This window comes from Homo sapiens, chromosome 10 (genome assembly GCF_000001405.40).
Source record: "Homo sapiens chromosome 10, GRCh38.p14 Primary Assembly".
Classification (NCBI taxonomy): Eukaryota; Metazoa; Chordata; class Mammalia; order Primates; family Hominidae; genus Homo; species Homo sapiens.
In genome coordinates, this window is record NC_000010.11 from 9,803,538 (window position 1) to 9,819,802 (window position 16,265).

At 36.8% G+C, this 16,265-nt stretch overlaps 1 long non-coding RNA gene across 4 annotated transcripts in view; it reads right to left on the reverse strand.

The window, feature by feature from the left end:
- LINC02663 (long intergenic non-protein coding RNA 2663) overlaps nt 1-16,265 on the reverse strand; it is a 434,814-nt gene that overhangs the window by 360,257 nt on the left and 58,292 nt on the right. The window contains exon 1 of one of the 4 annotated variants that reach the window (XR_930646.1): nt 13-75. The exons of the other annotated variants lie outside the window; for them this stretch is intronic. This is a non-coding gene — a long non-coding RNA (long intergenic non-protein coding RNA 2663). Of the gene's footprint in view, nt 1-12; nt 76-16,265 lie in introns of those variants that run through there. 4 annotated transcript variants of the gene reach the window in all.

The window sequence follows — 16,265 nt, forward strand, 5'->3', positions numbered from 1 at the left end:
CAAGAAACTGACCTGTCAAGGAGAATTCCCCAAGCACATAGTAATATGCAGACTGGAACTCTCAGCTGAACAAGGTTGTAGAGTTAAGTTGGTTATCTGGAATTCACAGAGTAAAATCTGTTGATTTTGTGGCTTATAGATAACAAGAAATGGTTTTAAGAGAGAATCAATTGGAATAGAAAAGACTGATGTGCAAACTGATTATGGGATGAAACATTTGGGCTGTTCACATTTTTTATAGTTAAGGGATAAATAACACAGAAACATAATTTTAAACTAATATATTTACAACTAAAAAAGGACACCTGGGTAGACACAGACTTCTTTCCTCAAACCTTATACATACGTAAAAATGTAAAACTCTTAAGGACTTCTAAGTGGGAGTTAAATACAAGCAAATACTACTCCTCTCATTTTGTCTCAAACCTAAAAAGGATAACTCCATGAATATTGTTAATTATTAAATCAAATATAAAACATAAGTCATGAAGGCTAAAATCAATGATACATTAAAATTTAAAAGTAGTTAAGTCACATAAAATACAGGAAAAAAATACAGAATTTTCAGGGAAATAAATACAAAAATAGTGAACACATTAAAAAATGGTAAAAATAATTCTAAAGAACACTCACAGCCAACAGATTCGTGACCAGAAACGCGCAATTATTATCATTAATTTCTTTTTCTGTATAGATTTTTATGAGAATAGTCTACGTTTCTAAATAAAAACTATATTTGACAAAACAAACTTGTCTCACTAAGAGCAATACATTACAAATCAACACAGGTGTATTCTTTCCTTTACATACACTTCATACAATTAAACATAAAAGCATCAGTTGTGTGCTCTGAATACTTCTGTACATTAAAATTTTGAAAAATACAATAGAAGAATTTAAAATAGCCTGTATCATAAGAGCTGATAATATTTTTGAGAAAACATTAATATCCACATTTTTATAAAGTATAACAATAAGTGAATGTCCCATGAGAAAATGCACTTATTGTGGAAAACCATCAGAAGGAAGGAGATAAGGGTTTTATTCAAATGACAAGAAAATCTGACTGACCCAGAGCAGAATAAAGACCACAGGAAGATTAGGGAAAACATACTGGAATTCTAGTCTACGTCTGTTGCCTAAGGAATCAAGACTGGGGCCATTTGCATGCATTGGACTGAGAGAGATTTTCTTACTTTTTTTTTTTTTATTACCAAGAATGCTGCTCCAGTTCTCATTGGATGCTACACAGATGAATGATGTCAGTCTAGAAAAATAAGATCAGTGTGGCCAGGACAGATGAAGATGGCTTCCGGAAAAAAACAAAAACAAAAACAAAAACAAAAAAACACAGTGCACATTCTGACTTAATTCGCGATAACTTTCTGTAAAGTAAGTCATCTTGCAAAATTCTGTATGATGAATATTTACTATTTAAAAGAATTCTGTGGTACAGTCTGTCAAAAAGTAAAAACTAACACTAAATGATGATTAAGGTTAATAATAATAGCTTTGTTATTTAGTTGACAGAAAGGGAAATATATCATCGCTTTTAAGAAATATTACTTTATGTCCCTACTTTTAATTACTTGGAAAAAAGATGATATGAAAAGTAGAGTAAGCTAAACTTTATCTTAAAAACCTTATCTAAAAATAACAGACTTTGTACTCTCTTTTATTAGCACAAAAATACAATATTTTACTAAAGGAAATCAGAAGGTCAAGAACTGGGCAATTCTGGCCAGAGTTTTTCTTTGATGAACGTGGCTGCAGTTTTTAAAAATGGAAACCTGTTAAAGCAGATACAAATTTCTGAAGTATTAATGACTGCCCTAAACATTAGGGGATCCTCCACATGCTAAATAAATACTGCAGTGCCAAAGATAACCCCATATCTAAGTTAACAAGCACATGAGGAACCAGAATTCTGTTCTACACCAAGTTGGCTACAGCACAGGGAACTTGAAAGAAAAGATGTTAACCCTCCTTTATTTTGAGCAGCTTTGGTGTCTCTCTCTAAATTAAAAATGTCTATAATGTACATTATCATATGTCACATAACATCTTATAAAAACTAACATACATAAAGAAAAATACATGAGGTATAGGAAAACTACTGACTTCTTCATTATTGGTTGTTGGCTTAAGTCACTGATAATTTCTTCACTTGATTTTAACCAAAAGGCTAAGAAGCAACGTGGCCATTGATAATTTCTTGGATGTCTTTTTAAAAATGTTCTTCCATTTGTGGAACTCAATATCCCTGCAAAGCTAAACCACAGTCACACATTAATGCTTGATCTGTTTTCTCCAGTATACCAGCAGACTCTGAACTCTGGGACCAGAGCATCCCTATGGTGTATAATAACCGAGAACAGGTCATTCATGTGTCGAACTGAGGGAGACAGGTCATAGAAAATACACTTAGGTTTAAAATAGAAATTCTCACTTTGTGCTTTTTAGGGTTTAATTGCTGCTAAGATGATGCTATCAATTGTATTTTTAGGTACTATCCTCTAGCATGGCACAAGATATATAGGTTTTAATATCAGTAATACTTTGAAGTGAAGTCATCATCATCATCTCCTTTGCCCTCGCCCAAGATGTTCATGGAATTCTAAAGCACATTTTTGCAGTTAGCCTCAGAGTGACCCTGCAAGGGACGCAGCTATGGACATCCAGAGGAAGGCCATAAAACAAAGGGGGATGCCAGTTATGAAGACCTGATGTTATTTTTCTTTTGCCCTAGAAGCTCCAAAAGTAAAATTTGGCTCAGAAAGATAGACAGTTTTCATTGTAAAATTTGTTAGGATTCAATCTTCATCAAAATATCTTCCTTTAATCAGTAATAAAAAAATTAAGAACTTTAAAAGTCCAATCAACATGGGAAAGACACAGAGATACATTTCAACTTGCCCTGCTCTCAGGAAGAGCATAGTATATTAATACATTATATACAACTGGGGGAAATGGAACTCATCTACATTCTTAATAGTTTTCTCTTGTATTTCTGTTCTTAAATGGTAAATCAGTGGCACAGAAAATATTAATATATAGGGATTTATAGTTACAGTACACCAAAACTGGAATTTAACGGATGGTTTCATTGGAGAGGGAAAAGCTGAACTGACCTTGAAAAAACAGATGCACTATTTCATCGAAGAGGAGGGTAAAGTGCATTTCAGGATGAGGAATAGCTGTAAGCTCCTGGTGCTCCTGAATTTCTCTCAGTTCCTTCTCATTTTTTAACCCAAATGACCTTTGCTTGATGACACTTTGGCCATCTTGTAAATCTCAATGTAATCGAATCTACTATTCAATAATTCTAATTTGGAGGGAAGAAAAAGTTTCAGTAAAATAAGCCTTAGTGTGGTTTCCATTGTAGATCTGCAAACAACCAAATGACAACTTCACCTAAACTAGAGGAACACAGACATGAAAAAGATATCTGCCCATCAAAAATAAGAACTAAGATCTACTTTCATTGGGGTTCCCTTAGAAGTAGATCCTGATAGACATTCAAGGACAAGGAGTCTGTTTGGAAGGTGAAAGAACACAGAGACAGGAGAGTGGAGAAGTGAGCCAAAAAAAGGAAAAGTTACCAATAAAGTGTGTATTTTCAAGTGAGTTACCATTGCAGGCTACAGGAACTTCATCTTAAAGAAGGAACTCTGGAAGCCAGTGTTACATATGTGCCTTATAAGTAACAAACACAAGCAAAGGGTCTAGATATTTGTATATGAACTTGTTAGTCATTGGTTGAGGGCTGCTCCTGGAACACAGATGAGTGATGGGTTGACAGTGTCCACTACAGTCTACCCCTTGCACTGCTTAGATTCACTCATGCACCAAAAGCACTCCACAGTCATTAATTTTTCAAGGTGGTGGTTGGATATAATTCAATTTTAAAAATTGAAACAAAGAGGGTCATAAAAACAGGGGAGCCACTGGGATAAGTTAGAGTCTCATATTGCTGGAATGAGGACAGTTGGGCCTCAGTATCCACAGGTGCTGCATCCAAGGATTCAACCAAGTGGGAATGTGTTATTTTTTTGAAAAAAGAAAGCAAATAAGAATGCAATTTCAAAAATACAAATAAAAAGCCCATACAGCATAACAACTATTAACATAGCGTTTACACTGGATTAAATAATGCAAGTAACCTAGAGATTATTTAAAGTACATAGGACGATTGCGTAGGTTATATGCCAATACTATGTCATTTTACGAGAGTTGTGCATCTGTAAATTTGGGCATCTGCAAAGAGTCCTGGAAGAATTTTCCTGAAGATACTGAGAGATGACTATATTCATCATCTGTCTACTCTGTGACATATTCTAAACTCTTCATCACAGAACAGCATTTCTAATAACCTGGTCTACTCACTCAAAGACTGTGGTTTCTGCAGTTGCTGATTTCTAGTTATCAGCAGGCATGGGACCCTCCAGTGAATCCTCTGGGGTCCAGACATCCTCCTTTCAGTCCGATAATGTAGCGGTATCCTTATCTCCTAACAATAATCAGGGTCAATCGTCCCTTCCGATAGAGTAAACTCCTTTGATTGCAGACTAATCTTCTGGCCCAAGAAATGCAAAGTGACTGGTTGATAAGCATGAACTTTGCTATAGTGGAACCCTTGTGTCTTCTGAAAGAAAAACAACCTCTTGGGAAGCAGAAACTAGTTGCATGCATGAAAGTAGGTCACTGGATATGATGGTAAATGGGGACAATTCTACCTATATTTCTTAGTTTCTAGGCCTATGTATTCTATCTACTGGGTATAAAACACAAAACAGCTGTTGTTTAAAGTATACATGGCATTTTGAATGTCAGCATCCAAATCCCACAAGGAATCTCCCTAAGGCAGAGTTTTATTTGTGCCTTTAAAAAGTCTAACATTTTCTCGGAAATCAGTTTCCATATGATGCTGTATATGTTAGGACCAATAAGTCCCATGGTCAAATGTCCCTTGTTTCATCTTCTTCATGTAAGGTGATGATCCCATGATAACAAATGGGTGCTGACCCTATGATAACAAATCAGACACTTTTAGCCCTCTTTGAAAGATGCCAGTCCAGGTACTGTGGGCAAATAAGAAAATCTATAATCTCAGAATATGTGTTACTTTAAGTAATAATCCCTTTGTCTTCAGGGAAGATAAAGTCCAATGTACCTTTTGGCAAAGTGGGTGATTGCTCTCCTAAAGAGACTATATTAAGAAAACGAATAGTTTCAGTCTGTGCTGCAGACAAGTTAGATATTCAGTAAATTCAATAGCTGGATCAGCCATAATGAGGACTCAGGTGTTTAGATGTTTGCATACCCTCCATCTTTGACCCCTTGCATATTCTATTCCTGGGCCTGTGTGCAAGTACTATGACAGCTGGGAACAGATACCACTCAATACTTTCCCTGCAGTGAATCTCTCTGATAGGTATTAATATAAGAGACAAAGATCCACTCATTCATGAATCACGTTCAGGTTTTTCCATCCTCCATCTCTTCTGGGCCACTCATATGCATAATTTTCTTGTGTCCTCCAAATCTCCTCTGAGACAATCTAAAAAATAGCATTGTGACCATAGGATGCAATACTGCTGGGCATGCTCAACTTGTGGAACTGACAAACAATTCATGATAGGCATCTCTGGTTGCTTAGTCATTTGATGGCCTTTCATAGGCTGTCTCTGCAAGGCCCTACAGTAGCATATTTCACAGTGGTTTTCTAAAGCCGAAGAACTGTCTTATGCAGAAGTCACAACTTAGCTCTAGAATCTCAGAGATCTGCTCTGTCACTGTCCTATTGGTATTTCTCAAAAATTCCACACAGTTCCCTTATCTCCTCTAGCAATACTGGATATATCACTTTCTAGATCCTAAACAGCAAGGCCGTTTCTACTGTGGACTGAATTCCCTTAACTATTTTTCCCCCAGTAGCTTTCTGGGTATGTGATGTTCTCCTATCCTGAAAGAGCCTAATAAGCACTGTGTCTTTTTTTAGTGGTAGGATTTTAATGATGAAATAGAATTTCCTTCACCTGGGAGGCAATATCTCAGTATGTCCCAGAACAGCTGGCCCTTAAAACCTTTATCAATAAGGCAGATATTTCACTGGTCATTTACTGGGTCCTTGGCACTAATGGACCTAATCAGGTTACTTAAAGAATCCATTACTTCCTTCTCATAGGTATAATTAACATCATAGCATCAACATGGCAATGTTCTCAGATGAGTGCAATGTTCTCAGAATATCCAAATAATCAAGCTCCCTTCACATTGTAGTGCGTCAGAAAGAAACACAGTAATTTCTCTGAAATTCAATCACCTTGAGGCACTACTATGAATGAATGCTCCTGTCTGTTCAAAGTAAGACTTGATCCTTTTGCATGAAAGGTATTGAAAAGAATACCCCATAGAGGGTTCCATAAGCTGCATTGATCTGTTCCAACAAAGATTCAAAATTCAACACAATAGCTAAGATTGAGACTATCATTTGTTGAGTCATCTCTAAATAATATCCTGAATATATGTTATTTCATCTGGGTGCATGTATACACATAGAATAAATTTCCATAACTGGGATCACTGGGATCAAAGGGCGTTGAGAAAATCACATATTCTGCCAAATTGATTTCTGTAGCTGTTGTATAGTTTTATATTCCCAGCAGTTATGTAGTAAGGGATGTGTATTCTCAGAGCCCCATTACCATTAGATGGTCAAACTTTTAAGAATTATGCCAATCAGACAAGTAAAAAATACCACTTAGTGAAGTTTTATTGTGCATTTCTCCAATTAGGATTGAAATTTAGTATGTTTTCTATATTTAAGGGCTACTTCTCTTTTACTATTATTACTATTAACTGTTTTTTGTGTCTTTTGTCCTTATTTCCATTGGATGATTAGTCTTTTACCTACCAAATTATAGAAACTTTTTACATATTAGTGCAATTTTTGATTCTATAAATTGCAGAATTTTACTAATTTTTTAAGTCTGTTCAGGGTGATTTTTTAATTTATAACTTTATTTTTAATTATGCAGTAAAATTTATTAATCTTTGCATTATAAAGTGTTATATTAATTGTATATTCTATTATCTACTGAAAACTTCTATTGTTTGAAGGTTTTTTTCAGTAATTTTTCTTGGATTTTCAGCATGGTCATATGGTTTTAAATCAAGAATGAGAGTTCAATTTTATCAAATGATTTTAACTTTTTTGAAGATGAACATTTTTTTCAGTAAATAATTATAACAAATTTTATTATATATTTTCTAAAACCAAACCATCCCAACATTCTTGGGAGGAAAATACTTCTGATTTCATGTTACATTCATCTTTGTTTTTTATTTGCTGGTTTTAAGAGACAGCGTCTTGCTCTATCAGCCAGGCTGGAATGCAGTGGGGTGATCATAGCTCACTGCAGCCTTGAACTCCTGGCTCAAGCAGTCCCCCTGCCTCAGCCTTCTGAATAGCTGGGATTACAGGCATGCACCAACACACCTGGTTGTTTTTTTAATTTTTTGTAGAGATGACATCTTGTTATGTTGCTTAAGTTGGTCTCCAACTCCTGGCCTCCAGTGATCCTCCTGCCTCAGCCTGCCAAAGTGCTGTGCCTTTGAGCCACTGTGTCTGGCTAAATTGCTATATTAATCTTTAAATGTGCTTCAAGTTTCGGGATTCTAATCTTCTATTTGGGATTTTAAAATTATTATTCATAGGGGAGATAAATTTCATTGAAATTATCTTCTTTTTAAAGGTTTGAATTTTCTTTCCATCTATGAGCTTGACTATTCTACACTCCTCCTGTGAGTAGGATCATGTAGTATTAGTATTAGTCCTTCTGTGACTTGCTTATTTCACTTGCATACTGGCCTCCAGGTTCATTCATATTATTGCAAGTGGTAGGATTTCTTTCTTTTTTAATGAATGGCTATCATATATATATATATATATACACACAAACATACACACGCACATATATACATATACATATAGTTTTTTTTTTAATGATGACAAGCATTGGAGAGGATGTAGATAAATTGGAACCCTTTACCCTTTACGCTACTGGTGAGGATGTACAACAGTGTAGCCACTGTGGAAAGCAGTCTCAAGGTTCCTCAAAACATTAAAAATAGAACTACCACATGATCTGCAATTCCACATATGGAAAAATGTCCAAAAGAATTGAAATCAGGATTTGGAAGATTCACCAGCACTCCCTTGTGCATTATTCACAACTGCAGCATTATTCACAACAGCCAAAACGGAACCGATCCAAATGTCTGTCAACGACGGAGTAAAGAAAATGTGGTCTATGTACATGTCATTTTTCTTTCTATATGCTCTACAATAAAGGTTTGAAAACTGTGGCCATTGGGCTGGATCCAGAGTGTGGGCTGTTTTTGTAAGAGCCTCAGGATGAGAATTATTTTTACATTGTTAAAAAATTGTAAGTAAAAAAACAAATAAAAGAAAAATCTGTGATAGACACCACTATGTGGGCTGCAATGCCTATATTATTTATTATCTCACTTATCACAGCGAAAAACTTGCAAACTCTTGCTCTCAAAAGCTAAATATCATTAAAATTATCTTCCTTTTAAAGGTTTGATATATTTTTCCTGAAAAACTATTTTATTCTGGTGCTTTTTCAAGGAGATCCAGGTAACTTTCTGTGAACTTTATCATTTATTTTATGGAAATTGTTTTCAGTAAGCTATTTGAGTGAACAAATTGTATTTTTCTAGAAAATTATCCATGTCATCTAGATTTTTAAATTTTTTGGATAGAATTTTTCAAACTCTCCTCTCGATGTCTTTCAATATTTCCTCTTTAAATGTTTAGGTCCCAGTTTTCCTGGTTTGTAAATTTTTATCACTCCGTTTGTAAGTTAGGCAAATTTTTATCTATTCTGTTTATACCAATTACAGTTTGATAGAAAAGCAAATTCACTAAGAATGATGGGGAATATTACATCTCGCTTAGGGAATCAGACTTACGAATTCCTGGGAACATGTCGGGATCAATAGAAAGCTGATTGTTCAGCATCTGTAGGAATCATAATATTGCTCTGAGATAGCAGTGCTGGTGGCAGGAAGGAAAAGTAGAGATGCATTTGTGGAAAGTAACAAACATAAGTGTACATGGAACTCATGAAACCTGGTCAGAACCCCCAAGGACAACTGAAACCCTCATCTGTTTCCTACCACCTCCAAATTCAAGAGATGCAGGTACCCAGCAAAAGAAGCTGTTTCCTTAGCCACAAAGCTACACGCGCACCTGTCCCAGGACTCAGGGAGTATAAAGGGGATGAGATGCAGGTGTTAGAGGAGCTGCAGACCTGGCTGTGGCCCCAGGCTAAGGTGAGCAACAGACAAATCCCAACATATGTGGATTTCATAATGCCTTCAAAGCAAAATGGCTGCTGCTTCATTTCCCCCTTGTACTTCTCACACAAATTTTTCTTGCCACCACCCTAAATCAGAACCACAAGGTAAAAAGAAACCTGGAAAATGTAACTTTAGCCTAGTCAAACTGACCCGGTACAAAGATACAGTAGTATATCCCTGTCAAAATGTCAAGTATCTATTCACTCTTCATTTAACAATCCCTAACTTCATAAGATGTTAGTAAAATCGTGATTTTGCATAATATGGTTCAATAACCCTTCATACAAATGCAAACACACTAACCTCTCCCCAAAATGATCTACAAACTCCCAAGGCTAACTTTATCCACCTTTGAGAGATTTCTCTTGTATTAAGAGTCACATTCTCCCTTTGGTTTCCTGCAACATAAATCCTGAGACATAAGGTTATTAGGTGGTAGGGAAATAGAATATTGAAAAATAAAAAATAATTTGATTAAATGTACTCATGTTTTATATCAAAATAAGAAAAGTAATAGATCTAATTATTATAGTCCTCATTTCTGAAATTGATCACGAAGTCATAGCTGGTATTTAATACTTCCACTGTCCATTCATATTCTCTTTACCTCTTGGAAGCAAACAAGAGGCTGAGGTGCCTTTCCTGGTAAAGTGTTTAAAATATTCATTCCTGGCCAGGCATGGTGGCTTACTCCTGTAATCCCAGCACTTTGGGAGGCCGAGGCAGGCAGATCACAAGGTCAGGAGTTTGAGACCAGCCTGACCAACATGGTGAAACCCCGTCTCTACTATAAATACAAAAACTAGCCAGGCATGGTGACACACGCCTATAATTTCAGCTACTTGGGAGGCTGAGGCAGGAGAATCGCTTGAACCCGGGAGGCAGAGGTTGCAGTGAGCCGAGATTGTGCCATTACACTCCAGCCTGGGCGACAGAGTGAGACTCTGTCTCGGAAAAAAAAAAAATCTTCATTCCTGAAGGCTCTGTATAGTTGCAGTCCTTCTTGCATTGGATTATTATACTTTTTCATTAACTTTTATCATACCACATGGAAGTGTCAAGTTGTGCCCCAGGGAATCTTTTGCATTTGAGACGTACTGTTTCTCACCTCTGTTATGTCTTAGCAATCCAATTTCTTCCTTATAGTCAGGATCAATCCACCCAGTGATTAAAGTAATCCTCCTTTCTCCTTGTGGTTTTACTGGCATGAGGATTCCAATGCAGGCAGGTTCCACATTTCATATCCCACTGCTTCCAGTTACATGGAACGATGTGCCCCTTGGTAATGTCCTTCCTTCCTTGTGAATTAAGACTTTTATGCCATATGAACATATATTTGTAGAGATGGGAAACAACAAAAATGTATTAATGACTTATGTGGAGGAACGGAGGAGACACTTCCATTAGCATGTCTTGATTTCCCAGACATATGAACTTGTTCCAGATCTGTAAGATGTTGTCACCAAGATAGCACTACAGATGTGTCCTCAAAAGGTCATTGCATCATCCTATCAGGGCAGTTATTTCAGGATGATGAAGTAGCCTAGTGAGACCAGTAAATTCCACAAGCATCAGCTCATTGCAGGACTTAATTTTCTTTAACAATAAAATTTTTTTAAAGTCAATGCTATGAGCAGTATTATGATGGTGAATAAGGCATTTTACAAGATTATGGATGATGGAAATAATCTTGCCTGGGAACTCCAAGTTTAGAGCATGTTCATAGCTCCACCCCACAGAGAAATGTCTTCAATTCAACTCTGACCTTTTCTTGTGTCTGTTCTGAGTCATGGTTTCATTTCTAAGGTTTTTATTTCTTTATATATTTAAACACTACAATTCCATTTATTTTCTGTTATCCAGAAAACTTTCAGAATAGCAGTTTCATTGATGTACTTTCATTCATTCTTATCCATATTTTAAATGCACTTTCTTTATATACATTGTTTCTATCATCATAACTAAATTTGTTTATTGTGGACAAAAATAGCATGTTCTTGTCAACCTTCTTGAACTAGATGTGTATATATCCTTTTAGTAATATGGAAGCAAAAGCAGTTTGGAGCCTTCCTATATCACTTGAAAATTATGTATTTAGAATTAGGTTGAAATGTTAAGAACAGATGCACTTGAAAGATTTACTAGGTACAGATTCCAAAAGTTTCTTTACACATAATAGAAGTATGTGAAATCCAGAACCCAGTTTTACAGACTTTGACCATTTTCAAACACATTTTAATTCCGTAATTTTTCTGATATTCTCCCTTTCAGATTTATGCATTAAATTATTTCCCCTTACAGATGTATGCAATACATATGTACACACACATCACACACACACACACACATAACCAATTTAATTCTGTAATTTTTCTGATATTCTCTCCTTCAGATTTATGCACTAAATTAATGAAGTATTTCCCCTTACAGATGTATGCAATACGTATATATCACACACACACATACATACATACACATATACTCCTGCATATATATGTATGTACATATGTACGTGTGTGTGTGTGTGTGTGTGTGTGTGTGTGGTATAATTACTAGGACCCTGCTTATTTCAGGCTTGATAATAAGAAATCCACTTGCCCTGGCAGAAAATGTCACCCACACCCACACCATCTACTTTCTGAAATTTAATATATCCATTTATTCCATATACTTTTCATTCATTCAGAAAACTTTGGGAAACAGTGTATGTATGACAAAGCATAAGAAATTATATAAAATTTTAGAGTTGGTAGAAAAGAAAATGTTAGTTCTGGCTAAGAACTCAGTGATAAGAATTAACCATGTTCTTGACTTATAGCTCACTTATGCTATGTGTGCTTAGAAACACTGAATATCATAAAAACTCAATCAACTGTGTGAAAATGACCGTTTATTCACAGTTAAGTGTTTTAAAGAGAATTGGTCATTTTTATGCTAGTGTCATCTAGATTCCCTCCCCATAGATCCACTCCAACTTCCCCACTGTTGCTACACTCTCAAATCATGATCAAGTGAACATTTATCTTAAGCACCAACAAAAGAATAAACAAACAAATTTCAAACAGTTCTATCAAGCTTCAACTCTGTGGTAACATCATACCACACCTCTGGAATCATTTTAATTCTTAACAGTTATTTCTTGGTATAATATTTACATTCTGGCATTAAAGCAGAAGGTATCGTTCTATTTTCTTTGTCTTTCCAAATTTTATTTTAGGTTCAGGGACTACATGGGTAGCTTTGTTACAGGTGTAAATTGTGTGCTGTGGGAGTTTGGTGTACCTATTATTTCATCACCCAAGTAATAAGCATATTACCCAAAAGGTAGTTTGTCAATCCTCATCCTTCTTCCACCCTCCAACTTCAAGTAGGCCATGGTGTCTATTGTTCCCTTCTTTGTGTCCATATATATTTGAAAATTAGCTCCCACTTGTGAGGACATGAGGTATTTGATTTTCTGTTCCTGCAATAATTTGCTTAGGATAATGGCCTCCAGCTACATCCATGTTACTGCAAAGGCATGATCTCATTCTTTTCATGGCTGCATAGTATTCCATGGTGTATATGTAAATTTTCTTTATTCAGCCCCCTTTTGATGGGCATTTAGGTTGATTCCATGTCTTTGCTATTGTGAATAGTGTTGTGATAATCATATGCGTGCATGTGTCTTTATGGGAAAACAATTAATATTCTTCTGGGTATATACCCAGTAATGGAATTGCTGGATCAAATGGTAGTTCTGTTTGAAGTTATTTGAAGAATCTCCAAACTGCTTTCCTCAATGGATGAACTAATTTACATTCCCACCAGCACTGTATAAAGTGTTCCTTTTTCTTCACAACCTCGCCAGCAACTGTTATTTTTTGACCTAATAGCCATTCTGACTAGTGTGAGACGGTATATCATTGTGATTTTGATTCGAATTTCTCTAATGACTAGTGATGTTGAGCATTTTTTCATATGCTTGTTGGCCACATGTCTGTCTTCTTTTGAGAAGTGTCTGTTCATGTCTTTTTCCCATTTCTTAATGAGGCTTTTTGAGGTTTGCTTGATGATTTGTTGAACTTGCTTATCAGTTCTGGATATTAGACCTTTGTCAGATGCATAATTTGCAAATATTTTCTCCCATTTTGTAGGTTGTCTGTTTACTCTGTTGATAGTTTCTTTTGCTGTGCAGGTCTTTAGCTTAATTAGGTCCCATTTGTCAATTTTTGGTTTTGTTGCAATTGCTTTTGGAATCTTCATCATGAAATCTTTGCCAAGATCTAGGTCCAGAATGGCATTTCCTAAGTTTGCCTCTAGAGTTTTTATATTTTTATGTTTTATGTTTAAGTCTGTAATCCATCTTGAGTTGATTTTTGTATATGGGGTAAGGAAGGGTCTATTTTCAATCTCCTGCATATCGCTAGCCTGTTATCCCAGCATCATTTATTGAATAGGGAGTCCTTTCCCCATTGCTTGTTATCGTCAATTTGTTAAAGATCAGAAAAAAAGGTTGTAGGTGTGGGGATTTATTTATGAGCTCCCTGCTCTGTCCCATTGCTCTGTGTGTCTATTTTTCTACCACCACTATGCTGTTTTGGTTACTCTAGCCTTGTCGCATAATTTGAAGTCAGGTAGTATGATGCCTCCAGCTTTATTCTTTTTGCTTAGGATTGCTTTGGCAATTCAGGCTATTCAGACTATTTTTTGGATCCATATGAATTTCAGATTAATTTTTTTCTAATTCTGTGAAAAACGGCATTGGTAGTTTGATAAGAATAGCATTGATTCTGTACATTGCTTTTGGCATATGTCTGTATGGACAGAAAATGTGAATTTCTCTCTTCCTATTTTGAAGCCTTTTGTCTTTCTCTTGCCTGATTACTCTGGCTAGGACTTCCAGTACTATGTTGAATAGGAGTGGTGAGGGTGAGCATCTTTGTCTTTTTCCAGTTCTTAAGGGGAATGTTTCCAGTTTTTCTCGTTCAATATAATGTTGGCTATGAGTTTGTCATAGGTGACTCTTATTATTTTGAGGTATGTTCCTTTGATGGCTAGTTTGTTGAGGACTTTTAACATGAAGGGATATTAAATTTATCAAAAATTTATTCAGTATCTATTGAAATGATAATATGTTTTTTTTAGTTCTGTTTATGTCAAGAATCATATTTATTGGTTTGCATATGCTTTGAACCAACTTTGCATGCCAGGAATAAAGCCTACTTGATCATGGTGGATTACCTTTTAGATGTGCTGCTGAACTCTATTTGGTTGTATTTTGTTCAGGATTTTTGTGTATAGGTTCATCATGGATACTGGCCTGAAGTTTTCTTTTTTTGTTCTTTCTCTGCCAGGATTTGGTATCAGAATGATGCTGGGATTATAGAATGAGTTAGGGGCGAGTCCCTCCTCATAAGTTCCTTAGAATAGTTTCAGCAGAATTGGTTCCAGCTCTTCTCTATATGTCTGGTAGAATTCACCTGTGAATCTGTCTGATCCAGGCCTTTTTCCGGTTGGTGGCTTTCTTATTACCAATTCAACTTCAGAACTCATTATTGGTCCATTCGGGTATTCAGTTTCTTCCTGGTTCAATCTTGGTAGGTTGTATGTTTCCAGGAATTTATCATTTCTTCTAGGGCTTCTAGTTTGTGTGCATAGAAGTATTTATAATAGTCTCTGAGGGTTTTTGTATTTCTGTGGCATCAGTAGTAATGTCACCTTTGCCATTTCTGATTGTGTGTATTTGTATCTTCTCTTTCTTTTTTCTATTAGTCTAGCTAGCCATCTATTAGTCTTATTTATTCTTTCAAATAACCAATTTTTGGTTTCATTGATCTTTTTAATGGATTTTCATATCTCAACTTCATTGAATTTTGGCTATTTCTGGCAGAGGGCAAGATAGCCAACTAGATACAGCCAAGTGGAACAGCTCCTACTGAGGAATCAAAATGACTGCCGTGCTTCCTAACAGATCTTCAGAGTGAAGACACAGAAGCTGGCTAATGGGGGAGGAAGCCTAGAACCCTGCACAAGGCTATCATGTACTGGAACTCATTCCTGATCCCCAATGACTCCAGGGTAATGGGTGAGTTGAACTGGCATGGAGCAACCTGCTCTTGCCAAGGGACCTCAGAAATCCCGGCAGGAGGCGACCCCTTAACCACCAAGAACACTCAATTTGGCAGGGAGAGCTGCTTAGAGAAGTGGTAGGGGACATCACATCAGCTGATGCAGAGCCCAGAGGGTTTGGTGCAGAAGCATCTGTAGTGGAACATGGACAGGGTTACCCATCTCCCTAGGCTTGACTTGCTCCAATAGGAGGCTTTAGCCCTAGGGGAACTGTTGGACCTGAACTCTTCAGGGTGGCCTTGCCCATCAGATGGGGACAGTCCAACCTGAGCATCCCTTGGTCTCCTGGCCAATTCCGTAGCCCCAGCCTGGCCGTGTCTGCTTGCATGGCAGCGTCAGGTGCCCCATCCTTTTTAGCACCAGGGACCAGGTTCATGGAAGACAATTTTTCTGTGAACTGGGGATGGCGGGGAACGGTTTTATGATGGAACTGCAATGGAACCGTTCCACCTTGGATCATCAGGCATTAGATTCTCATAAGGGGCATGCGACCTAGATCCTGCATGCACAGCTCACAATAGGATTCACTCTCCTGGGATAATCTAATGCCACCAATGATCTGAAAGAAGGTGGAGCTCAGGCAGTCATGCTCTCTTGCCTGCTGCTCACCTCCTGTTGTGCGGCCCCAGACCAGCACCAGTCCAGGGCCTGGGGTTTAGTGGCTCCTTCTCTAGGGGACTGCATCACAGCTCCTGCACCATTGGACCATGCCTGACTGATGGAGAGCTCCAGTGGGGCAGCCCCCATGGCCATACACTAATTGC